The sequence below is a fragment of the Homo sapiens genome, chromosome 4 (assembly GCF_000001405.40).
Source record: "Homo sapiens chromosome 4, GRCh38.p14 Primary Assembly".
NCBI classification, from domain to species: Eukaryota; Metazoa; Chordata; class Mammalia; order Primates; family Hominidae; genus Homo; species Homo sapiens.
In genome coordinates this window covers 106,067,687-106,095,024 of record NC_000004.12, presented here as the reverse complement: position 1 = coordinate 106,095,024, position 27,338 = coordinate 106,067,687, and the positions used below count along the sequence as shown (strand labels likewise).

The window sequence follows — 27,338 nt, the reverse complement described above, 5'->3', positions numbered from 1 at the left end:
TTCCTTCTTCCATGGCTATGTTCTAAGCAAATTGAAAAATAAAACAAAGAGTAGCATATGAAGGCCAAAAATATCTTTATTTTTTAATAAAAGACAAGTTGAAGACTGTAGCTTAGTATGAGAGCCAAATGGACTTACTTAAAAACAAGCAGCCAGAGAAGGTATCTAGATATAGGCAACGTTGAACGAGTACAGGATCTTTCTCTAAAAGGGAAGAATCTGCTCCTAGAAAAGTAGCAGAGGTAACTTGCTCCCTGCAGACAGCTTTTTTCTAAAAGGAAGATAAGCAGGACTGAGCCTTCCCAAATTTACCAATCAAATAAATCCTTCAACCTCCCAGGGCACAGAGAATAGAGGGACAAAGAGAAAGGCCAGGAATATGCTTAGGAAAATTCTGTCATCAGGGAAATCAGGAGTGGAGACAAAATATTTGCCTTGATTGTACATATTCCTTTGAGCACTCCTGAAATGTGGTCACTGAAAATTTCAGATTAGAACTTTAAAACTTTATTTTTTTTTTACTCTTAGTAATCAGAGAAATAACCTAAAATGTCTTTTATTATAAAAACTAATAACCACACTTTGTTGAACACTTGGAAAATATAGAGAGACCAAAAAAGGAAATAAAAAGTATGCATGATTTTACCACCTGGGAGGCAAAAAACACTTCTTGAATTTTTTTATTGGAAAATTATAATTCCTCCATTCAATTCAATTCTGATATTGGCTAAAGGTAACCCTCCCATCCCCACCTGCACATACCCCATACTGATACAAACTCAGAAAAAAGGAAACATGAAAATACTTTGCTCTTTTATTCCTAGAGCGAGTGTGTATGAAGTCCATGAAAACAACATGTAAGGGTTACATTTAGAGAACTATGCCATATGATTTCATAGTAAGGAACTAGGCTATTGATTTTTCCAAATTTGATGCCTTCACTATAATTTTTAAGTCTTTTAAGTTTTTGCTTTTCACAGAGCAAAATCGAGAGGAATAGAAATTTCCCATATACCACTACCCCACACATGCACAACCTTTCCCATTATCAGCCTCCCCCATCAGAGTGGTACATTTGTTACAACTAATGAACCTTCATTGACACATCATTATCATCCCAAGTCCACAGTTTACATCAGGGCTCACTCTTGGTGTTGTATATTATTTTTAATTTGTAATAAATTTTTATTAACTTTTATTTTAGGTTCAGGGATACATGTGCAGGTATGTTATATAGGTAAACATGTCATAGGCATTTGTTGTACAGGTTATTTTATCACCGAGGTACTAAGCCTAGTACCCAATAGTTATTTTTTCTGCTTCTCTTCCTCCTCCCACCCTCCAGCCTCAAGTAGGGCCCAGTGTCTGTTTTTTCCATCTTTGTTAGAAATTTAAAACTGTAAAAGTCAGATTAGAACTTTAAGACTATTGATCATAAACCATTTTAAGCATCCAACAATCCATGTCTCAGAAGTACAGGACTGATAGCAGCATTAACTTTTTGTTTGTTTGTTTGTTTGAGACGAGTCTCGCCCTTTCGCCCAGGCTGGAGTGCAGTGGTGCAATCTCAGCTCACTACAAGCTCCATCTCCCAGATTCACACCATTCTCCTGCCTCAGCCTCCCGAGTAGCTGGCACTACAGGCACCCACCACCACGCCCAGCTAATTTTTTCGTATTTTTAGTAGAGACGGGGTTTCACCATGTTAGACAGGGTGGTCTCAATCTCCTGACCTAGTGATCTGCCCGCCTCGGCCTCCCAAAGTGCTGGGATTACAGGCGTGAGCCTCCGCACCTGGCCAGGATTAACTTTTGACACTAAATGAAAGTCATTCTTAATGATGAAACTTAACTAACCATACTAAAGAAGTATGCAAGTGGATATTACTTCTAAGTTATAAATCACTCACCTATCTTTTATATAACTGTATCTACCATCCAACAGAGAACAATCTCAATACACCTATTTCAGAGAAAGTCAGAAAATAGTAACACACATGGTTTGGCTATTTGTCCCCTCCAAATCTCATGTTGAAATGTAATCTCCAATGTTGGAGGCTGGCCTGGTGGTGAGAGGTGACAGCATGCTGGCAGCCCTTGCAGCCCTCGCTCACTCTTGGCACCTCCTCGGCCTCAGCACCCACTCTGGCTGCACTTGAGGAGCCCTTCAGCTCGCCACTGCACTGTGGGAGCCCCTTCCTGGGATGGCCGAGGCTGGAGCCAGCTCCCTCAGCCTGCGGGGAGGTGTGGAGGAAGAGGCACAGGCGGGAACCGGGACTGCGCACATTGCTTGCAGGCCAGTTAGAGTTCCAGGTGGGCGTGGGCTTGACGGCCCCGCACTGGGAGCAGCCGGCCGGCTCTGGGCAGTGAGGGGCTTAGCACTCAGGCCAGCAGCTGCGGAGGGTGCGCCAGGTCCCCCAGCAGTGCTGGCCCACCAGCGCTGCACTTGATTTCTCACCGGGCCTTAGCTGCCTGCCCGCAGGGCAGGGCTCGGGACCTGCAGCCCACCATGCCTGAGCCTCCCCCCAACCCACCGTGGGCTCCTGCCCGGCCCAAGACTCCCCAACGAGTGCTGCCCCCTGCTTCACAGCACCTGGTCCCATCGACTGCCCAAGGGCTGAGGAGTGTGGGTGCACGGTGTGGGACTGGCAGGCAGCTCCACCTGCGGCCCCAGTGTGGGATCCACTGGGTGAAGCCAGCTGGGCTCCTGAGTCTAGTGGGGACTTGGAGAACCTTTATGTCTAGCTAAGGGATTGTAAATACACCAATCAGCACTCTGTATCTAGCTCAAGGTTTGTAAACATACCAGTCAGCACCCTGTGTCTAGCTCAGGGTTTGTGGATGCACCAATCAGCACTCTGTATCTAGCTAATCTGGTGGGGACTTGGAGAATCTTTATGTCTAGCTAAGGGATTGTGAATACACCAATCGGCACTCTGTATCTAGCTCAAGGTTTGTAAATGCACCAGTCAGCACTCTGTGTCTAGCTCAGGGTTTGTAAATACACCAATCAGCACTCTGTATCTAGCTAATCTAGTGGGGAGGTGGAGAACTTTTGTGTCTAGCTCAGGGATTGTAAATGCACTAATCAGCACCCTGTCAAAACAGACCAATCAGCTCTCTGTAAAACAGACCAATTAGCTCTCTGTAAAATGGACCAATCAGCAGGATGTGGTTGGGGCCAGATAAGAGAATAAAAGCAGGCTGCCCCAGCCAGCAGTGGCAACCTGCTCAGGTCCCCTTCCACACTGTGGAAGCTTTGTTCTTTTGCTCTTTGCAGTAAATCTTGCTACTGCTCATTCTTTGGGTCCACACTGCCTTTATGAGCTGTAACACTCACCACGAAGGTCTGCAGCTTCACTCCTGAACCCATCAAGACCACGAACCCACCGGGAGGAACGAACAACTCCAGATGTGCCGCCTTAAGAGCTGTAACACTCACTGCAAAGGTCTGCAGCTTCACTCATGAGCCAGCGAGACCACGAACCCACCAGAAGGAAGAAACTCCAAACACATCCGAATATCAGAAGGAACAAACTCTGGACGCGCTGCCTTTAAGAACTGTAACACTCACCACAAGGGTCCGTGGCTGCATTCTTGAAGTCAGTGAGACCAAGAACCCACCAGTTCCGGACACAGTGGGAGGTGTTTGGTCATGGGGGCAGATCCTTCGTGAATGGCTTGATGTCCTCTCCATGGTAATAAGTGAGTTCTCACTCTGTTAGTTCACATGAGAGCTCGTTGTTTAAAAGTCTGGCTCTTCCTCCTTTCTCTTGTTCCTGCTCATGCCATGTGACATGCTGGCTCCCTGTTACCTTCCACCATGATTGTAAGCTTTGTGAGGTTTCATCAGAGATAGATGTCAGCACCATGCTTTCTGTAAAACCTGCAAAACTGTGAGCCAGTTAACCATCTTTTTTTAATAGATTGCCCAGTCTCAGGTACTTCTTTATAGCAACACAAGAACAAACTAACACAGATAATTGGTACCAGGAGTGGGGTGTTGCTGTTAAATACCTGAAAATGTGGAAACAGCTTTGGAACTGGGTAATAGGCAGAGGTTGAAAGAGTTTGGAAGGCTCAGAAGAAGACAGGAAAATGAGTAAAAGTTTGAAACTTCTTAGAGACTGATTAAATAGTTATAACCAAAATGCTGATAGCTGTATGGACAATAAAGTCCAGGCTGATTAAGTCTTAGGTGGAAATGAGAGAGTTATTGGGACCTGGAGTTAAGATTACCCATGTTACACCCTGGCAAAGAACTTGACAACAGTGTGTTCATGTCATAGGGATCTGAGTTTAAACTTAATTATGATGACAAGATACCTGGCAGAAAAAAAAAATCTAAGCAGCAAAGCATTCAAGAAGTGGTATGGCTTCTTCTAACACCCTAAGTCATATATGGAAGCAAATAAAAGACTTAAAGTTATATTTAAAAGGGAAGCAGAGCATAAAAATTTGGAAAACTTGTAGCCCAGCCCTATGGTAGAAAAAATCCAAGCAGGCTACAGAGCAACCATTTGCTAGAGAGATTAGCGTGACTAAAAGGGAGCCAAGTGCTAATAGCCAAGACAATGGGTAAAAGGCCTTGAAGGCATTTCAGAGTTCTTAGGGACAGCCCTTGTCATCACAGGCCTAGAGGCCTAGGGAAGAAGAATGGTTTCAGTGGTCAGGCCCAGGACCCCACTTCCCTGCACAGCCTCAGGACAGTGCTCCCTGCATCGTGACCACTCAGGCTCCGGCCACAGCTTAACTGGGCCAAGGTAAAGCTCAGGCTGCCACCCTAGAGGGAGCAAGCCGTAATCCCTGGCAGCTTTCATGTGATGTTCAGCCTGCAGATGCACAGAATGCAAATGTGAAGGAAGCTTCGCAACTCCCACCTGGATTCCAGAGCACGTGTGGGGAAGTCTGGATACCCAGGCAGAAGCCTACTACAGGAGCAGAGCCCCCACAGAGAAACTATACTAGGGCAGTGCCAATGGGAAACGTAGAGTGGAGCCCCTGCAGAGTCCCCACCAGGGAACCGGCTAGTGGAGCTTTGGGAAGTGGGATGCCACCCTCCAGACCTGAGACTGGTAGAGCCATTGGAAGCTTGCAACCGCAGTATGGAAAAGCCATAGGTACTCAACTCCAACCTGTGACAGCAGCCATGAGGGCTGCACCTTGGAAAGCCACAGGGACAAACCTGTCCAAGGCCTTCATAGCCTACATCTCACACCATTCTGCCCAGGATGTAGGACATGTCAAAGGAGATTGTTTTGGAGCTTTAAGATTTAATGAGTGTCCTGCTGAGTTTCAGACTTGTGTGGGCGTATTGCCTCTCTTTTGGCCAATTTCTCCCTTTTCAAATGATAATGCATACCCAATATCTGTAGCACCATTGTATATTGGCAGTAAATAACTTGTTTTTGATCTCACAGGCTCATAGGATCAATGGACTCATCTCCAGATGATACGTGAGACTTGACACTTGGCACTTGAGACTTGAGTTAATGCTGAAGCAGGTTAAGAATTTGGTGGACTATTGCAGAGGCTTGGTTGTATTCTGATATGTGAGGAGGACATAAGACTTAGGGGATCAGAGGCAGAATGATGTGGTTTGGATGTTTGTCCCCTCCAAATCTCATTTCAAATGAGATAACATAATCCCTATGTTCAATGTGGAGCCTTTTAAGGAGGTGTTTGGATTATGGGGGAAGATCGCTCATGAATGGTTTGGTGCCCTCCCAGTGGTAATAAGTGAGTTCTTGCTCTGCTAATTCATGTGAGAGTTGTTATGAGAGTTGATGGTTTAAAGGAGCCTGGCTCCACCTCCTCTCTCTCTTGTTCCCACTCTGGCCATGTGACATGCTAACTCCCTGTTGCCTTCTGTCAGGATTGTAAGCTTCCTGAGGCCTCACCAGAAGATGTTGGTACCACACTTCCTGTAAAGCCTACAGAACCATGAGCCAATTAAACCTCTTTAATTTCTTCTATTAAAAAAAAAAAGGATACATGTACAGAACATGCAGGTTTGTTACATAGTTATATGTGTGCCATGGTGGTTTGCTGGACCTACTGACCTGTCCTCTAAGATCCCTTCCCTCGCCCACCAGCACCCAACAGCCATGGGGTGTATTGTTCCCCTCTCTGTGTCCATGTGTTCTCAATGTTCAACTCGCATTTGTGAGCGAGAACATGCGGTGTTTGGTTTTCTGCTCCTCTATTAGTTTGCTGAGGATGATGGCTTCCAGCTTCATCCATGTCCCTGCAAAGGACATGATGTCATTCCTTTTTATGGCTTCATAGTATTCCATGGTTTTCTTTATCCAGTTTTATTCCAGATTTTCTTTATCCAGTCTATCATTGATGGGCATAAATAGTGCTGCAATAAATATACATGAGTATGTGTCTTTATAATAGAATGATTTCTATTCCTTGGGTATATACCCAGTAGTGGGATTGCTGGGTCCAGATGGTTTTTCTGGTTCTAGATCCTTGAGGAATCACCATACTGTCTTCTACAATGGTTGAACTAATTTACATTCCTACCAACAGTGTAAGTGTTCCTATTTCTCCACACCTTCAGCAGCATCTATAGTTTCCTGACTTTTTAATAATCACCATTTTGACTGGCGTGAAATAGTATCTCATTGTGGTTTTGATTTGCTCTGATGACCAGTGATGTTGAGCTTTTTTTCATGTTTGTTGACTGTGTAAACGTCTTCTTTTGAGGAGGAGCTGTTCATATATGCTTTGCCTACTTTTTGATGGGATGGTTTGTTTTTTTCTTGTAAATATGTTTAAGTTCCTTGTAAATTCTGGATGTTAGACCTTCGTCAGATAGGTAGATTGCAAGAATTTTCTCCCATTCTGTAGTTGCCTGTTCACTCTGATGACAGTTTATTTTGCTGTGCAGGAGCTCTTCAGTTTAATTAGATCCCATTTGTCAATTTTGGCTTTTGTTACAATTGCTTTTGGCATTTTTGTCATGAAGTCTTTGCCCATGCCTATGTGTGAATGCTATTGCCTAGGTTTTCTTCTAGGGTTTGTATGGTTTTGGGTTTTACCTTTAAGTCTTTAATCCATCTTGAGTTAATTTTTGTATAAGACATAAGGTAGGGCTCCAGGCCAGTTCCAGTTTCCTGCATATGGCTAGCCAGTCTTCCCAGCACCATTTACTGAATAGGAGATCCTTTCCCCACTGCTCGTTTTTGTCAGGTTTGTTGAAGATCAGATGGTTGTAGACATGTGGTATTATTTCTGAGATCTCTGTTCTGCTCCATTGGTCTGTATGTTGGTCCTGCTCCGTTGGTCTATATGTACAAATACCATGCTGTTTTGGTCACTGTAGCCATGTAGTATAGTTTGAAGTCATCTAGCATGATGCCTCCAATTTTGTTCTTGTTTGCTTAGGATTGTCTTGCCTATATGGGGTCTTCTTTGATTTCATATGAAATTTAAAATAGTTTTTTCTAATTCTGTGAAGAATGTCACTGGTAGTGTGATGGGAATAGCACTGAATCTGTAACTTACTTTGGGCAGTATGGCCATTTTCATGATATTGATTCTTCCTATCCATGAGGATGGAATGTTTTTTCATTTGTTTGTGTCCTGTCTTATTTGCTTGAGCAGTGGTTTGTAGTTTTCCTTAAAGAGGCATTCACATCCCTTGTTAGCTGTATTCCTAGGTATTTTATTCTGTTTTAGTGATTTTCAATGGGAGTTCACTCATGATTTAGCTTTCTGCCTGCCTATTGTTGGTGTAAAGGAATGCTTGTGATTTTTGCACATTGATTTTTTATTCTGAGACTTTACTGAAGTTGCCTATCAGTTCAAGAAGTTTTGGGGCTGAGATGATGTGGTTTTATAAATATAAAATCATGTTATCTGCAAACAGAGACAACTTGACTTCCTCTCTTCCTATTTGAATACCCTTTATTTCTTTCTCTTGCCTGATTTCCCTGGCCAGAACTTCCTATACTGTGTTGAATAGGAGTGGTGAGAGAGGGCATCCTTGTATTGTACCAGTTTTTAAAGGGAATGCTTCCAGCTTTTGCCCATTCAATATGAAATTGGCTGTGAGTTTGTCATAAATAACTCTTATTATTTTGAGATATGTTCCATCAATACCGAGTTTATTGAGAGTTTTTAACATGAATGGATGCTGAATTTTATCAAAGGCCTTTTCTGCATCTGTTGACATAATCATGTGATTTTTGTCTTTGGTTTGGTTTATGTGATGGATTACATTTATCGATTTGCATCTGTTGAGCCAGCTTTACATCGCAGGGATGAAGCTGACTTGATCGTGATGGATAAGTTTTTTGATGTGCCACTGGATTGGGTTTGCCAGTATTTTATTGAGGATTTTCTCATCAATGTTCATCAGGGATATTGACATGAGATTTTCTTTGTTTGTTGTGTCTCTTCCCGGTTTTGATATCAGGATGATGCTGGCTTCATAAAATTAGTTAGGGAGGAGTCCCTCCTTTTCAGTTGTCTGGAATAGTTTCAGAAGGAATGGTACCAGCTCCTCTTTGTATTTCTGGTAGAATTCAGCTGTGAATCCATCTGGTCCTGGGCTTTTTTTGGTTGGTAGGCTATTAATTACTGCCTCAGTTTCAGAGCTTGTTATTGGTATATTCAGGGATTCAACTTCTTCCTGGTTTAGTCTTGGTAGGGTGTATGCATCCCAGAATGTATCCATTTCTTCTAGATTTTCTAGTTTCTTTGCATAGAGATGTTTATAGTATTCTCTGATGGTAGTTTGTATTTCCGTGGCATCAATGGTTATATCCTGTTTATCATTTTTATCCTGTCTATTTGATTCTTCTCTCTTTTTCTTCATTAGTCTAGTTAACAGTCTATTTTGTTAATTTTTTCAAAAAAAAGCTCCTGGATTGATTTTTTTGGAGGGTTTTTCATGTCTCTATCTCCTTCAATTCTTCTTTTAGTTATTTCTTGTCTTCTGCTAGCTTTTGGATAAGTTTGCTCTTGCCTCTTTTGCTCTTTTAATTGTGATGTTAGGGTGTCGATTTGAGATCTTTTTAGCTTTCTGATGTGGACATTTAGGGCTAAAACTTCCCTCTTAACAGTTCTTTAACTGTGTCTCAGGGATTCTGGTGCATTGTCTCTTTGTTCTCATTGATTTCAAGGAACTTGATTTCTGCCTTAATTTTGTTATTTACCCAGGAGTCATTAAGGAACAGGTTGTTCAATTTCCATGAAACTATGTGGTTTTGAGTGAGTTTCTTAATCCTGAGTTCTAATTTGATTGAACTGTGTTCTGAGAAACTGTTATGATTTCAGTTCTTTTGCATTTGCTGAGGAGTGTTTTACTTCCAATTATGTGGTTGAATTTTAGAATAAGTGCCATGTGGCACTGAGAAGAATGTATATTCTGTTGGAGTAGAGAGTTCTGTAGATGTTTACTAGGTTTACTTGATCCAGAGCTGAGTTCAAGTCCTGAATATCCTTAATTTTATGTCTCATTGATCTAATACTGACAGTGGGGTGTTGAAGTCTCCCACTGTTATCGTGTCAGAGTCTATGTCTCTTTGTAGGTCTGTAAGAACTTATTTTATGAATCTGGGTGCTCCTATATTGGGTGAATACATATTCAGAATATAGCTCTTCTTGCTGAATTGTTCCCTTTACCATTGTGTAATGCCCTTCTTTGTCTTTTATGATCTTTGTTGGTTTAAAGTCTGTTTTGTCAGCGACTAAGATTGCAACCCGTTTTGTTTTGTTTTGTTTTGTTTTGTTTTGTTTTTCTTTCCATTTGCTTGGTAAATTTTCCTCCATCCCTTTATTTTGAGCCTGTGTATGTCTGCACATAAAATGAGTCTCCTGAATACAGCACACCAATGGGTCTTGACTCCTTATCCAATTTGCCAGTCTGTGTCTTTTAATTGGGGCATTTAGCCCATTGACATTTAAGGGTAGTATTGTTATGTGTGAATTTGATCCTGTCATCATGATGCTATTTGGTTAATTTGCATACTAGTTGATGCAGTTTCTTCATAATGTCATTGGTCTTTATTTTTTGGTGTGTTTTTGCAGTGGCTGGCACTGGTTTTGTTTTGTTTTGTTTTTTCCATTTTTAGTGCTTCTTTCAGGAGCTCTTGCAGGACTGACCTGGTGGTAATGAAATTCCTCAGCATTTGCTTGTCTGTAAAGGATTTTATCTCTCCTCCGCTTATGAAGCTTAGTTTGGCTGGATATGAGATTCTGGGTTGAAAATTCTTTAAGAATGTTAAATATTAGCCCCCAGTCTCTTCTGGCTTGTAGAGTTTCTCCTGAGAAGTCCGCTGTTAGTCTGATGGGCTTCCCTTTGTAGGTTACCTGGCCTTTTTCCCTGGCTGCTCTTAACAGTTTTTCCTTCATTTCAACCTTGGAGAATCTAATGATTATGTGTCTTGGGGTTGATCTTCTCGTGGAGTATCTTAACGGTGGTGTTCTCTGTATTTCCTGATTTGCATGTTGGTCTGTTTTGCTAGGTTGGGGAAGTTCTCCTGGCTAATATCCTGAAGTGTGTTTTCCAGCTTGTTTCCATTTTCCCTGTCTCCTTCTGGTACTCCGGTCGATCATAGGTTCAGTCTTTTTATTAAGTCCCATATTTCTTGGAGGTTTTGTTCATTCCTTTTCATTCTTTTTTCTCTATACTTGTCTCTGTGTCTTATTTCAGTAAGGTGGTCTTCAAACTCCAATATCCTTTCTTCCATGTGGTCAGTTTGGCTGTTGATACTCATGTATTCTTCACAAAGTTCTCATGCTGTGTTTTCCAGCCCCTTCAGGTCGTTTATGTTCCTCTCTACACTAGTTATTCTAGTTAGCAATTCCTCTAACCTTTCATCAGTCTTCTTAGCTTCTTTGCATTGGGTTAGAACATGTTCCTTTACCTCGTCATAGTTTTTTATTACCCATCTTCTGGAGCCTTCTTCTGTCACTTTGTCCATTTGATCCTCCATCCAGTTCTGCACCTTGGAGAGACACTGCGATCATTTGGAGGAGAGGAGGCACTCTGGCTTTTGGGGTTTTCAGCATTTTTTTGTTGATTCTTTCCCATCTTCATGAGTTTGTCTAGTTTTGGTCTTTGAGGCTGCTGACCCTTGCATGGGGTTTTTATGGGGGTCTTTTTGTTGTTTTTGGTGCTGTTGTCACTTTGTACTTGTTTTTGTTTCAATAGTCAAGTCCCTCTTCTGTAGGGCTGCTGCAGTTTCCTGGGGGTTCACTTCCCTATTCATCTTATTTGCTCCTGTGCCTGGAGATGTCACTCAAGGAGGCTGGAGACCAGCAAAGATGGGTGCCTGCTCCATCTTCTGGGACCTCTGACCTTGAGGGGCACCAACCTGATGCCAGTAGGATCACTCCTGTATAAGGTGTCTGATAACCCCTGTTGGATGGTCTCACCCAGTTGGGTGGCACAGGGAGCAGGACCTGTTTAATGAAGTACTTTATTCCTTGTTCTAGAGGGTGTGTTTCACTGGGGGGAAACCCACTCGTCTGAGCTGCCTGGATTCCTCAGAACTACCAGGAGGAGAGGCTAAGTTGGCTGGTCTGCAGAGACTGAGGCCACCTCCCCGATCCCCCAGGGGCTCTGGCCCAGGGAGATCTGAATTCTGTCCCTGAGCCTCTGGCTGGAGTTATTGGAGATTGTTCAGGGAAGCCCCGCCCACTGAGGAAGGTGGGTCAGGGTTAGACCTGAAAAGGCACTTTGGCCGCAGACTGCCACAGCCGGTGTTTTGGGCTGTGGGGACAAGTCTTGGGACCAAGTGGTCCAGCCTCCCTTGCTCCAGCAGGGAAAAAGCCCAGCCTGGAGCTATACAAATGGGTGCCACGCTTCCCCTGCCCAGGGAGCTTAGAGTGTTAGGTAGTTGCTAGTCCCAGGGCTGGCTGCTGCCCCTTCCCCAAGGAGCTCAAATGGCTTAGACAGCAGGTAGCCGCAGCCAGTGCTGGTCGCCTCTCCCCGCAAGAGTTAGGTGGGCTTAAGCAGATTCCAGCTGAGAGGCTGTGAGAATCTGCACATTCTAGGGTTGGGACGCTAGGCCCTGGTGGAATGGGTTCGCAAGTGTATCTTCCAATCCATGGGTTGCACAGTTCAATTTGAAAAGCACAGTTTCCCCTGGCTGGGTAGTGTGCTCACTCACTGCCTCCCTTGGCTTGAGGGAAGTTCCCCTTCCCTGTGTGGATCACAGGTGGACCGCCACACCACACTGCTCTTCCTTCTCTCAGTCAGTCATGCCAGCCTTCTAGTCAATTTTGATGAGAGAACCTGGATACCTTGGTTGCCAGTGAAGGATTCACAGGCTTATTATGGTTTCTTTCCTATGCGAGCCTCGGAATGCTGCTGCTTCTAGTCAGCCATCTTGGCCCTGCCCCCTGAACTTCTTTTCTTTATAAATTACCCAGTCTCAAGTATTTTTATTTTTTTCTATTTTTTTTTCTATTTTTTTAAGTTGAAGTTCTAGAGGTACATGTACAGGTTTGTTAATAAATTTTATGTTGCTGATCCTTCGTGTACAAATGACCCCCTCATCCTGTGTAGTGAGCATAGTACCTGACAGGTAGCCCTAAAAACCATGTCTCTCTCCCCACCATTCTTCCTCAAGCAGTCTTTAATATCTATTATTCCCTTCTGTGTGTCCATGAGTACCCATTGTTTAGCTCCCACTTATAAGTGACAACATGTAGCGTTTGGTTTTCTGTTCCTGCATTAGTTCACTTAGGATAATGGCGTCCAGCTGCTTCCATGTTTCTGCAAAAGATATGACTTCATTCTTTCTGTGGCTGCATGGTATTCCATGGTATATATGTACTATTCAGTCCACTGTTGATGGGCATCTTTGTTGACTCCATGTCTTTGCTATTGTGAATAGTGCTACAATATATATCCACATGCATATGTATTTTTGGCAGAAGAATTTATTATCCTTTGGGTATATATCATATAGTAGGATTGCTAGGTCAAATGGTAGTTTTAAGTTCTCTGAGAAATCTCCACACTGCTTTTCACAATGACTGAACTGATTTACATTTCCACCAGCAGTGTATAAGTGCTCCCTTTTCTATGCAACCTCACCAGCATTTCTTGTGTTTTGACATTTTGGTAATAGCCATTTTGACTGATGTGAGATGGTATCTCATTGTGGTTTTGATTTGCATTTCACTGACGATTAGTGATGATGAGCATTTTTTCATATATTTGTTAGTGGCATATATTTCTTATTTTGAGATGTATTTGTTCATGTCTTTTGCCAGTTTTAAAACTGGGATATTTGTTTTTTGCTTTTTGATTTAAGTTTCTTATAGATTCTGGATACTAGACCTTTGTTGGAGGCATAGTTTGCAAATATATTCTCCCATTCTGTAGATTAAGTTCCAGGTTACATACAGGATGTGCAGGTTTGTTACACAGGTAAGTGTGTGCCATCGTTGTTTCCTGCATAGATCAATCCATCACCTAGGTATTAAGCCCAGCATCCATTAGCTATTCTTCCTGATGCTCTCCCTCCCCCAGCTCCCCCAACAGGCCCCAGTGTGTGTTGTTCCCCTCACCACCATGTGGCCGTGTGTTCCCATCGTTCAGCTCCCACTTGTAAGTGAGAACATATTTGGTTTTCTGTGCCTGCATTAGTTTGCTGAGGATAACAGCTTCCAACTCCTTCCATGTCCCTGCAAAGGACATGATCTCATTCCTTTTTATGGCTGCATAGTATTCCATGGTGTATATGTACTACCAGTCTATCATTGATGTGCATTAAGGTTGATTCCATGTCTTTGCTATTGTGAATAGTGCTGCAGTGAATATATATGCACATGTATCTTTATAACAGAATGATTTATATTCCTTTGGGCATATACCAAGTAATAGGATTGCTGGGTCAAATGGTATTTTTGCTTCTAGATCTTTGAGGAATCGCCATACTGATGGCAATTCCAGTTAGTTCCACAATGGTTCAACTAACTTACACTAACACCAATGTGTAAAAGTGTTCCTTTTTCTCTGCAACCTTGCCAGCATATGTTGTTTGACTTTTTAATAATCTCCATTCTGACTGGCATGAGATGGTATCTCATTGAGGTTTTAATTTGCATTTCTCTAATGATCAGTGATGTTGAGCTTTCTTCCTTACGTTCGTTGGCTGTGTGAATTTCTTCTTTTGAGAGGTATCTGTTCATGTTTTTTGTCCACTTTCTAATGGGTTTTTTTTTAATTGTGAATTTGTTTTAAGTTCCTTATAGTCTCTGGATATTAGACCTTTGTCAGATGGATAGATTGCAAAAATTTTCTTCCATTTTGTAGGTTGTCTGTACACTCTGATGATATTTAAATATTTGGTTGTGCAGAAGCTCTTCAGTTTAATTAGGTCCCATTTGTCAATTTTTGCTTTTGTTGCAATAGCTTTTGAGGAATTAGTCATAAATCCTTTCCTGGCCACTGCCCAGAATGGTATTGCCAAGGTTTTCTTCTAGGGTTTTGATTGCTTTCGGTCTTACATTTAAGTCTTTAATCCATCTGGAGTCAGTTTTTGTATATGGTAAAAGGAGGGGATCCAGTTTCAATCTTCTGCATTTGGCTAGAATGTCCCAGCACTATTTATTGAATAGAGAGTCCTTTCCCCATTATGTATTATAGTTGACTTTGTCAAAGATCAACTGGTTGTCAGTATCTGGCTTTCTTTCTGGTTTCTCTATCCTTTTCCATGAGTCTATGTCTGTTTCTGTACCAGTATCATGCTGTTTGGGTTACTATAGCCTTGTAGTATAATTTGAAGTCAGGAAGTGTGATGGCTCTTTGTTTTGCTTAGGATTACTTTGATGATTTGGACTTTTTTTTTTTTGGTTCATGCCAACTTTAGAATAGCTTTTTCTAATTCTGTCATAAATGACATTGGTAGTTTCACAGGAATAATGTTGAATCTGTAGATTGCTTTGGGCAGTATGGCCATTTTATCAATCTTAACTCTTCCCAATATGGTTTGAATTTGTGTTCCCAGCCAAATCTCATGTCGAATTGTTAGAGGAGGGGCCTGGTGGGAGGTGATTTGATCATGGAGGTGGATTTTCTGCTTGTTATTCTTGTGATAGTGAGTTCTTAGAAGATCTGGTTGTTTTAAAAGTGTGTAGCACCTCTCTCTTTGTTGTCTTCCTCCTGCTGCAGCCATGTACGATGCGCCTGCTTCCTCCTCACCTTCCATCATGATTGTACATTTCCTGAAGCTTCCTCAGCCATGCTTCCTGTATAGCCTGCAGAACTGTGAGCCAATGAAACTTTTTTTCTTTATGAATACCCAGTCTCAGGCAATTATTTATAACAATGCAAGAACAGACTAATACACTTCCTTTTCATGAGCATGGAACATTTTTCCATTTGTTTATATTGTCTATAATTTCTTTCACCAGTGTCTCATAACTCTCCTGGTAGAGATCTTTCACCTTCTTAGTTAGATATATTCCTAGATATTTTTGTTTGTGGCTATTGTAAATGGATTTATGTCCTTGATTTGCCTCTCAGCTTGAATGCTAATGATATATAGAAATGCTACTTATTTTTGTACATTTATTTTGTGTCCTGAAATTGCTTATTGGTTATAAAAGCCTATTGGCAGCATCTCTAGGGTTTTCTAGGTATACAATCATATCATCTGTGAAGAAAGATTATTTGACTTCCTCTTTTCCTATTCGATCTCTTTTCTTTCTTTCTCTTGCCTGATTGCCCTGGCTAAGACTTCCAGTGCTATGTTGAATACCAATGTTGAGAACAGGCATCCTTGTCTTGTTCCAGTTTTCAAGGAGAATGTGTCCAGCTTTTGCCTGTTTATTATGATATTGGCTGTGGGTTTGTCCTAAATGCCTCTTTTTATTTTGAGGTATGTTTTTTTGATGCCTAATTTGTTGAGGATGTTTAACATGAAGGGATGTTTAATTTTATTGAAGACCTTTTCTACATTTATTGAGACTTTCACATATATTAAAGACCTTTTCTGCATATACTGAGATGATCATGGTTTTTGTTTTTAATTTTGTTTATGTAGTGAATCATATTTATTTAGTTGCATATGTTAAGCCAACCTTGCATCCCAGGAATATGGCCTATTTAATCTTAGTGCATTAGTTTTTTGATGCACTGCTGGATTTGGTTTGCATGTATTTTGTTGAAGATTTTTGCATGTTCATCAGAGATATTGACCTGAAGTTTCCTTTTTTCATTGTATCTCTGCCAGATTTTGGTATGAGGATGATGCTGGCTTCATAGAATGAGCTGCAGAAGAATCTCCTCTCCTTGATTTTTTTTTTTTTGAATAGTTAGAATAGGACTGACATCAGCTCTTCTTTTTATGTCTGGGAGAATTTGGCTGTGAATCCATCTGGTTCAGGGCTTTTTTTGGTTGGTAGGCTTTTTATTACTGATTCAATATCAGAACTTGTTATAGGTCTGTTCCAAATTGTAATTTCTTCCTGGTTCAATCTTAGAAGGCTATGTGTTTCCAGGAATTTATCAATGTCTTCTAGATTTCCTAATTGTGTGCATAGAGGTGTTCATAATATTCTCTGGTGAACTTTTGTATTTTTGTAGGGTTGGTTGAAATGTCACCTTTGTCACTTCAGATTGGGTTTATTTGGATCTTCTTTTTTCTTTATTAATCTAATTAATTAGCAGTTTCAATCTTGTTTCATCTTTTGAAGAACCAACTTTTGGGGGCATTGATACTTTGTCTGGATTTTCGCATCTCAGTTTTATTCAGTTCAGCTCTGATTTTGGTTATTTCTTTTCTTCTGCTAGCTTTGGGTTTGGTTTGTTCCTATTTTTATAGTTCCTCGAGGTATAATGCAAGATTGTTAATTTGAGAGCTTTCTAACTTCTTCACGTAGGAGTTTAGTGCTATGAATCTTCCTCTTAATGCAACTGTAACTGTGTCCCAAACTGGTATGTTGTGTCTGTTTTCATTCATTTCAAATAATGTTTTGATTTCTGCCTTAATTTTGTTATTTACCCAAAAGTCATTCAAGAGTAGGTTAACATGTAATTGTATGGTTTTAATAGATCTTAGTATTGATTGCTGTTTTTACTATGCTGTGGTCTGAGAATGTGTTTGGTATGATTTCAATTTTTTTAATTTGTTGAAACTTTCTTTATGGTTTAGCATGTCATTGATCTTAAAGTATGTGCCATGTGCAGATGAGAAGAATATGTATTCTGTTGTTGGATGGAGTGTTCTGTAGTGTCTATTAGGTCTAATTGGTCAAGTATTGAGTTTAAGTCCAGAAAATATTTGTTAGTTTTCTGCCTTGATGATGTAACACTGTCAAGGTGGTGTTGAAATCTCCCATTGTTATCGTGTGTTTGTCTGTATTTCCTCATAGATCTCTAAGAACCTTTTTTATGGATCTGGGAACTCTAATTTTGGGTATGTATATATTTAGAATAGTTAAGTCTTCTTGATGGATTGAGCCCCTTATTATTATGTAATATTTTTCTTTGTTCGATTGTTGTTGCTTTAATGTTTGTTTGTCTGGTATAAGAATAGCAACCCCTGCTGTTTCTGTTTTCTATTTACCTAATCAATCTTTCTCCATTCCTTTACTTTAAGCCTATTGCTGTTACTTCTGAGATGGATCTCTTGAAGACAGCAAACATTTGGGTCTTGCTTCTTTATCCGCCTTGACACTCTATACCATTTAATCGAGGCATTTAGCCTGTTTACATTCATGGTCGATATTGCTATGTGAGGATTTGGTCTTATCATCACGCTTTTAGCTGGTTGTTATGTAGACTTAATTGTATAGTTGCATTATAGTGTCAATGGGGTATGTTCTTAAGTGTGTTTTTATGGTGACAAATATTGCTCTTTCATTTCCATGTTTAGCACTTCCTTTAGGAGCTCTTGTAAAACAGGTCTACTGCTATCAGATTCCCGTAGCTTTTTTGTTTTTTTAAGGTACACTCTTGCTCTATCTATCTCCCCAGCTGGAGTGCAGTAGTACAATCTCAGCTCACTGCAACCTCTGCATCCTGGGCTCAAATGATCCCACCTCAGTCTCTTAAGTAGCTGGGACTACAGGTGCATGTCACCACACCTGGGTAATTTTGTATTTTTTTGTAGGGATAGGGTCTCTCTTTGCTTCCCAGGCTTGTTTCAAACTCCTGGGGCTCAAGCAATCTGCCCACCTCAGCCTCCCAAAATGCTAGGATTATAAGCATGAGCCACTGCAGTCAGCCTCCCTTAGCTTTTGCTTGTCTGGAAAGAATTGCGTTCTCTTTTGCTTATGAAGCTTAGTTGGTGGGCTATAAAATTATTGCTTGGGATTTCTTTTATTTAAAGATATTGAAAATAGGCTCCCAGTCTCTTCTGGCTTGTAAAGTTTCTGCGGAAAGGTCTACTGAGCCTGACAGAGTTCCCTTTGTAAGTGACCCGCCGCTTCTCTCTAGTTACCTATACGATTTTTTCTTTCACATCTACCTTGGAGAATCTGATGACTGTGTGTCTTGGGGATGGTTGTCTTACATAGTATCTCACAAGGGTTCTCTGCATTTCTTGAATTTACATGACAACCTCTCACTAAAGCCATAGTGTCTATATTATTTTGATGTAAGTTGTTAAATTATTATTTTTTACTGCTACCACAATACTGCTGCTGTTGCTGCTGCTACATTAATTTATGTTGCTATGTCATTCCAGTGAAAAATCTCAACTTTCAATTATAGTGCAGATACACTATGTAAAATCACATGTTTAGGTTCCAAGTAATATATGGCCTAAAGAAATCCCAAAAATGGTAATAATCCCAGTCATGGATGCCATACACTTCTAACCTGCAGCATCCCCACTCAAGAACTGCCTGCCTATGGTGCCTCCCACTGGAGCACTTCCTACCCACAGCACCTGAGCTGCCACTGCCAGGGCACCTACCTATGGCCCCCTGCCATCCTCTACAGAGCTATTGTTTTATACATCTTACACATTAGAAAACTTAGACTCAAAGTTAATCTCATTTGCCTGTGTCAGAGCCAGGATTGAAACACCAGTCTGTATGACTCTATAAATCACACCCTTAACTCAGTGAGCTCCGAAGGCTTTTGAGTGTGAATGCTGCCACATATCCTGTTTTCTAAAACAGGCTTATTCTGACTTTCACAGATCACAGTGTTCTCCCAGTGTGTGAAAGCAAGACCTGAAATAAACTTTTATGCTGTATGTGCTAACATGCTTAGGGCTCTATTTTCATAAAACATTAACAATTTTAAAGATGATATCTAATAAACAGACCTTGTATAATTATCTTTTTAAGATTGCCAAATGTTTTCTAATATCTTACTCATTGTACTAAACCCTAGGCTTCTGTTCATTTTAATTTTACCATAAAGGTAAAAACATATATATAAGTCAATAGGTAACTCATTTCTTTCATTAAATAATCAATTAAATACGTCATCTATGATGTACAAGGCATTGTATAGAACACTATATTGCCAATCAAAGTGCTAGTAAAAATAAAAGTTTAAAATGTGAAGGCAATCTCGAAGCATGACTATTCAGATTATTTATTGCTACTAGTATCATATATTTTTATTAAAGAGCCATCACATTCCAAATAAGTCAGTCAATATCATACTTATCAGAAACCAGATGCTATGATAAATAATTCTTTCTTCTTCACGTCCTCCATACTCAGGCATACTTATAGACAATTACTGAACAAATTATATGCTCAGCTAGTATGCTTCAATCCAACATTAGGAAATCGTTTCAAGAAACTGTTTTAAACATTTTTATAGCAATGTATCTTTAATACTTTTCTCAGCATGGGGCAGAAGAGAACTTTACATATTTACTTGCATGTACTTTACATCTTTTTGTCTGCTGTACAGATCTGTAGGCCTATTGTTTTTCCTTCCCACTAATTTTGAAGTGTCTCAGTTTAAAGCATATTTGTTGGAATTATATTATGTATCCATGGTTGTCCTGGATACCTTTTCTTTGCCCCACCTCCCATCATAGATCTATTCTCCATCCTTTTTTACCTTATTCACCCCAGGAAGCTAACTTCCATGTCTCCTGGCTTCCAGTTGTTAACCAGTCGGGAGCTCTGGCAAGCTATAGGAGAGAATGGGGACAGAATATTTCTCCTGCTGTGCCCTTCCCTCCAGAATTATGTCAGGTTGGCTTGTCCCTCTGTTGAAGGGTAACACTTCTCTCCAGGAAGCCTTCTCTCCACAACACATTTACCAACAACTGGTCCCTCTGGCTGTAGGGATGGCAACAGCTCTGCTTTTGCTAGCCCCAGGTAACTGCACTATCTCTTATGATTCTCTTATATAGCACCTGTACCTTCATAATTAATGTCTTTATAAGTGAGCCCCCCTCAGTTTATTCTTAGGGCTAATTTGTACCTGGACTGTTATTTGGATAAGGGTAGTATCTAAATACATGAATCTTTTAGTCAACCTACATTGGTTTCTGTGTTCTATTTCTTACCAGCTGTGTTAATTTGCACAAATTATTTATTCTAAGTCATCATAAAAGGGGCTAAAAATACCTACCTCACAGAATTCTTGTGAAGATTTTAGATTAGGCATATATGGTTCATCACAGAGCCTGATACTAGTGAGCACTCAGTTAACATCAACTATTAATTTTGTTTTCTAGTACTTATTTACATACATGTAAATTTAATAAATACTATTTTATCTTATGTATGATGATAATAAAAAAGTTCTAGAATTTGAGCCAATCTTCCATTCCTTCATAGAAAGTTTTTTTAAAAAGTAGAAAATGTACTATGTTGGAGGTCTGTTCCAAGATGGCTGAATAGGAACAGCTCTGGTCTGCAGCTCCCAGTGTGATCAATGAAGAAGACAGGTGATTTCTGCATTTCCAGCTGAGGTACCTGGTTCATCTCATTGGGACTGCTTGGACAGTGGGTGCAGCCCATGGGCAAGCTGAAGCAGGGCAGGGCATTGCCTCACCTGGGAAACGCAGGGGGTTGGGGGATTTCCCTTTCCTAGCCAAGGGAAGCCATGACAGACCGTACCAGGAAAATTGGGACATTCCAGCTTAATACTGCACTTTTCCAATGGTCTTAGCAAACGGCACTCCAGGAGATTATATCCTGTGCCTGGCTCAGTGGGTCCCATGCCCATGGAACCTTGCTCACTGCTGGCACAGCAGTCTGAGATCGAACTGTGAGGCGGCAGCCTAGCTGGGGGAAGAGTGTCCACCATTGCTAAGACTTGAGTGGGTAAACAAAGCAGCCAGGAAGCTCAAACTGGGTGGAGCCCACCGCAGCTCAATGAGGCCTACGTGCCTCTGTAGACTCCAGCTCTGGGGCAGGGCACAGCTGAACAAAAGGCATCAGAAACTTCTGCAGACTTAAACGTCCCAGTCTGACAGCTCTGAAGAGAGCAGTCGTTCTCCCAGCATGGTATTTGAGCTCTGAGAATGGAAAAACTGCCTCAAGTGGGTCCCTGACACCCGTGCAGCCTAACTGGGAGATACCTCCCAGTAGGGGCTGACTGACACCTCATACACCCAGGTGCCCCTCTGATACGAAGCTTCCAGAGTAAGGATCAGGCAGCAGTATTTGCTGTTCTGCAGTATTTGCTGTTCTTCAGCCTCCGCTGGTGATACCCAGGCAAACAGGGTCTGGAGTGGAACTCTGGCAAACTCCAACAGACCTGCAGCTGAGGGACCTGTTAGAAGGAAGACTAACAAACAGAAAGGAATAGCATCAACATCAACAAAAAGGGCATCCACACCAAAACCCCATCTGTAGGTCACCATCATCAAAGACCAAAGATAGATAAAACCACAAAGATAGGGAGAAACCAGAGCAGAAAAGCTGAAAATTCTAAAAACCAGAGCACCTCTCCTCCTGCAAAAGATTACAGCTTCTTGCCAGCAACAGAACAAAGGTGGACGGAGAATGACTTTGACAAGTTGACAGAAGTAGCCTTCAGAAGGTCAATAATAACAAACTTCTCCAAGCTAAAGGAGGATGTTCGAACCCATCGCAAGGAAGCTAAAATCCTTGAAAAAGGATTAGACGAATGGCTAACTAGAATAAACAGTGTAGAGAAGACCTTAAGTGACCTGATGGAGCTGAAAACCATGGCACGAGAGCTATGTGACACATGCACAAGCTTCAGTAGCTGATTCGATCAAGTGGAAAGAAGCGTATCAGTGATTGAAGATCAAATTAATGAAATGAAGAGAGAAGAGAAGTTTAGAGAAAAAAGAATAAAAAGAAACGAACAAAGCCTCCAAGAAATATGGGACTCTGTGAAAAGACCAAATCTCTGTTTGATTGGTGTACTTGAAAGTGACAGGGAGAATGGAACCAAGCTGGAAAACACTCTTCAGGCTATTATCCAGGAGAACTTCCCCAACCTAGCAAGGCAGGCCAACATTCAAATTCAGAAGATACAGAGAACACTACAAACATACTCCTTGAGAAGAGCAACCCCAACACACATAATTTTCGGATTAACCAAGGTTAAAATGAAGGAAAAAATGTTAACAGGCACCAGAGAGAAAGATTGGGTTACCCACAAAGGGAAGCCCATCAAACTAACAGCAGATCTCTCGGCAGACACTCTACCAGCCAGAAGAGAGTAGGGGCCAATATTCAACATTCTCAAAGAAAAGAATTTTCAACCCAGAATTTCATATCCAGCCAAACTAAGTTTCATAAGTGAAGGAGAAATAAAATCCTTTACAGACAAGCAAATGCTGAGAGATTTTGTCGCCAACAGGCCTACCTTACAAGAGCCCCTAAAGGAAGCACTAAACATGGAAAGGAACAACCAGTACCAGCCACTGCAAAAACATGCCAAATTGTAAAGACTATCGATGCTAGGAAGAAACTGCATCAAATAATGGGCAAAATAACCAGCTAGCGTCATAATGACAGGATCAAATTCACACATAACAATATTAATCTTAAATGTAAATGGGCTAAATGCCCTAATTAAAAGACACAGACTGGCAAATTGGATAAAGAGTCAATACCCATCACTGCTGCATTCAGGAGACCCATGTCACGTGCAGAGACACACATAGGCTCAAAATAAAGGGAAGGAGGAAGATCTACCAAGCAAATGGAAAGCAAAAAAAGGAAGGGGTTGCAATCCTAGTCTCTGATAAAACAGACTTTAAACCAACAAAGATCAAAAGAGACAATTAAGGCCATTACATAATAGTAAAGGGATCAATTCAGCAAGAAGAGCTAACTATCCTAAATATATATGGACCCTATACAGGAGCACCCAGATTCATAAAGCAAGTCCTAGAGACCTACAAAGAGACTTAGACTCCCACACAATAATAATGGGAGACTTCAACATCCCACTGTCAGTATGAGACAGATCAACAAGACAGAAGGTTAACAAGGATATCCAGGACTTGAACTCACCTCTGCACCAAGCACACCTAATAGACATCTACAGAACTCTTCAGCCCAAATCAACAGAATATACATTCTTCTTGGCACCACATTGCCTTTATTCCAAAATTGACCACATAGTTGGGAGTAAAGCACTCCTCAGCAAATGCAAAAGAACAGAAATTATAATAAACTGTCTCTCAGACCACAGTGCAATCAAACTAGAACTCAGGATTAAGAAATTCACTCAAAACCACACAACTACATGGAAACTGAACAACCTGCTCCTGAATGACTACTGGGTAAATAATGAAATGAAGGCAGAAATAAAGGTGTTCTTTGAAACCAATGAGAACAAAGACGCAACATACCAAAACCTCTGGGACACATTTAAAGCAGTGTGTAGAAGGACATTTATAGCACTAAATGCCCACAAGAGAAAGCAGGAAAGATCTAAAATCGACACCCTAACATCACAATTAGAAGAACTAGAGAAGCAAGAGCAAACAAATTCAAAAGCTAGCAGAAGGCAAGAAATAATTAAGATTAGAGCAGAACTGAAGGAGATAGAGAAACAAAAAACCTTTCAAAAAATCACTGAATCCAAGAGCTGGTTTGTTGAAAAGGTCAACAAAATAGATAGACCACTAGCAAGACTAATAAAAGGGATATCACCACCGATCCCACAGAAATACAAACTACCATCAGAAAATACTATAAACACCTCTACACAAATAAACTAGAAAATCTAGAAGAAATGGATAAATTCCTGGACACATACATCCTCCCAAGACTAAACCAGGAAGAACTTGAATCCCTGAACAGACCAATAACAGGCTCTGAAATTGAGGCAATAATTAATAGCCTACCAACCAAAAAAAGTCGAGGACCAGATGGATTCACAGCCCAATTCTACCAGAATTACAAAGACGAGCGGGTACCATTCCTTCTGAAACTATTCCAATCAATAGAAAAAGGGGGAATCCTCCCTAACTCATTTTACGAGGCCAGCATCATCCTGATACCAAAGCCTGGCAGAGACACACACACAAAAAAGAGAATTTTAGACCAATATCCATGATGAACACCCATGCGAAAATCCTCAATAAAATACTGGCAAACTGAATCCAGCAGCATATCAAAAAGCTTATCCACCAAGATCAAGTCGGCTTCATCCCTGCAATGGAAGGCTGGCTCAACATACACAAATCAATAAACGTAATCCATCACATAAATAGAACCAAAGACAAAAACCACATGATTATCTCAATAGATGCAGAGAACACCTTTGACAAAATTCAACAGCCCTTCATGCTAAAAGCTCTCAGTAAACTAGGTATTGATGGAACGTATCTCAAAATAATAAGAGCTATTTATGACAAACCCACAGCCAATATCATACTGAATGGGCTAAAACTGGAAGCCTTCCCTTTGAAAACTGGCACAAGACAGGGATGCCCTCTCTCACCACTCCTATTCAACATAGTGTTGGAAGTTCTGGCCAGGGCAATCAGGCAGGAGAAAGAAATAAAGGGTATTCAATTAGGAAAAGAGGAAGTCAAATTGTCCCTGTTTGCAGATGACATGAATGTATATTTAGAAAACCCCATCGTCTCAGCCCAAAATCTCCTTAAGCTGATAAGCAACTTCAGCAAAGTCTCAGGATACAAAATCAATGTGCAAAAATCACAAGCATTCCTTCACACCAGTAACAGACAAACAACCAAATCATGAGTGAACTCCCATTCACAACTGCTACAAAGAGAATGAAATACCTAGGAATCCAACTTACAAGAGATGTGAAGGACCTCTTCAAGGAGAACTACAAACCACTGCTCAACAAAATAAAAGAGGACACAAACAAATGAAAGAACATTCCATGCTCATGGATAGGAAGAATCCATATCGTGAAAATGGCCATACTGCCCAGGGTAATTTATAGATTCAATGCCATCCCCATCAAACTACCAATGACTTTCTTCACAGAATGGAAAAAACTACTTTAAAGTTCATATGGAACCAAAAAACAGTTGGCATTGTCAAGACAATTCTAAGCCAAAAGAACAAAGCTGGAGGCATCATGCTACCTGACTTCAAACTATACTACAAGGCTACAGTAACCAAAACATCATGGTACTGGTACCAAAACAGAGATATAGACTAACAGAACAGAACAGAGGCCTCAGAAATAACACCACACATCTACAACCCTCTGATCTTTGATAGACCTGACAAAAACAAGAAATGGGGAAAGGATTCCCTATTTAATAAATGATGCTGGGAAAACTGGCTAGCCATATGTAGAAAGCTTAAACTGGATCCCTTCCTTACACCTTATACAAAAATTAATTCCAGATGGATGAAAGACTTAAATATTAGACCTAAAACCATAAAAACCCTAGAAGAAAACCTGGGCAATACCATTCAGGACATAGGCATGGGCAAGGACTTCATGTCTAAAACACCAAAAGCAATGGCAACAAAAGCCAAAATTGACAAATGAGATCTAATTAAACTAAAGAGCTTCTGCACAGCAAAAGAAACTACCATCAGAGTGAACAGGCAACCTATAGAATGGGAGAAAATTTTTGCAATCTACTCATCTGACAAAGGGCTAATATCCGGAATCTATAAAGAACTTAAACAAATTTACAAGAAAAAATCAAACAACCCCATCAAAAAGTGGGCGAAGGACATGAACAGACACTTCTCAAAAGAAGACATTTATGCAGCCAACAGACACGTGAAAAAATGCTCATGATCACTGGTCATCAGAAATGCAAATCAAAACCACAATGAGATACCATCTCACACCAGTTAGAATGGCGATCATTAAAAAGTCAGAAAGCAACAGGTGCTGGAGAGGACGTGGAGAAATAGGAACACTTTTACACTGTTGGGGGTGTAAACTAGTTCAACCATTGTGGAAGACAGTGTGGCGATTCCTCAAGGATCTAGAACCAGAAATACCATTTGACCCAGTGATCCCATTACTGGGTATATAGCCAAAGGATTATAAATCATGCTACTATAAAGATGCATGCACACGTATGTTTATTGTGGCACTATTCACAATAGCAAAGACTTGGAACCAACCCAAATATCCATCAATGATAGACTGGATTAAGAAAATGTGGCACATATACACCATGAAATATTATGCAGCCATAAAAAAGGATGAGTTCATGTCTTCTCTAGGGACATAGATGAAGCTGGAAATCATTCTGAGCAAACTATCACAAGGACTGCAAACCAAACACCACATGTTCTCACTCATAGGTGGGAATTGAACAATGAGAACACTTGGACACAGGGCAGGGAGCACCACACACTGGGGCCTGGTGTGGGGTGGGGGGATGGGGGAGGGATAGCATTAGGAGAAATACCTAATGTAAATGACCAGTTAATGAGTACAGCAAACCAACTTGTCATGTGTATACATATGTAACAAACCTGCACGTTGTGCACATGTACCCTAGAACTTAAACTATAATAAAAAATAAAAAATAAAATAAAAAGAAATTGAATATCTAAATAGATAGACATCCCATGTTCATGTGTTGGAATAATTGTTTTGATGACAATACTACCCAAAACAATGTGTAACTTCCATGCAGTACCTATAAAAATCCCAATTGCATTTTTTAATTAAAAAAATCCATACTAAAATTCATATTAAATTTCTAGGGACCCATAATACCCAAAACAATCTTGAAAAAGAACAAAGTCAGAGGACTCATACTTCTTGATTTGAGAATTTACTACAAAGCTATAGTAATCAAAACGATACAGGCATAATGATAGACATATAGACCAATGGAATTAAATTGAGAGCCCAGAAATAAACCCTCACGTCTATGGAAAATTGATATTTGACAAAGGTGCCAAGACCATTTAGTGAGAAAAGATAGATTATTCAACAAATGGTGCTGGGAAAACTGAATATCCACACGCAAAAAATGAAATTGGACC

At 40.7% G+C, this 27,338-nt stretch overlaps 1 protein-coding gene across 16 annotated transcripts in view; it reads left to right on the top strand.

The window, feature by feature from the left end:
* The window catches only part of TBCK (TBC1 domain containing kinase), a 275,085-nt gene that overhangs the window by 221,659 nt on the left and 26,088 nt on the right, over positions 1-27,338 (top strand). For 5 of the 16 annotated variants that reach the window (XM_047416426.1, XM_017008847.3, XM_047416423.1 and 2 more), the window contains one exon: positions 3,280-4,196. The exons of the other annotated variants lie outside the window; for them this stretch is intronic. In XM_047416426.1, coding sequence (XP_047272382.1) covers positions 3,280-3,282 — 3 coding nt within the window. In that variant the 3' untranslated portion in view covers positions 3,283-4,196. Of the gene's footprint in view, positions 1-3,279; positions 4,197-27,338 lie in introns of those variants that run through there. 16 annotated transcript variants of the gene reach the window in all.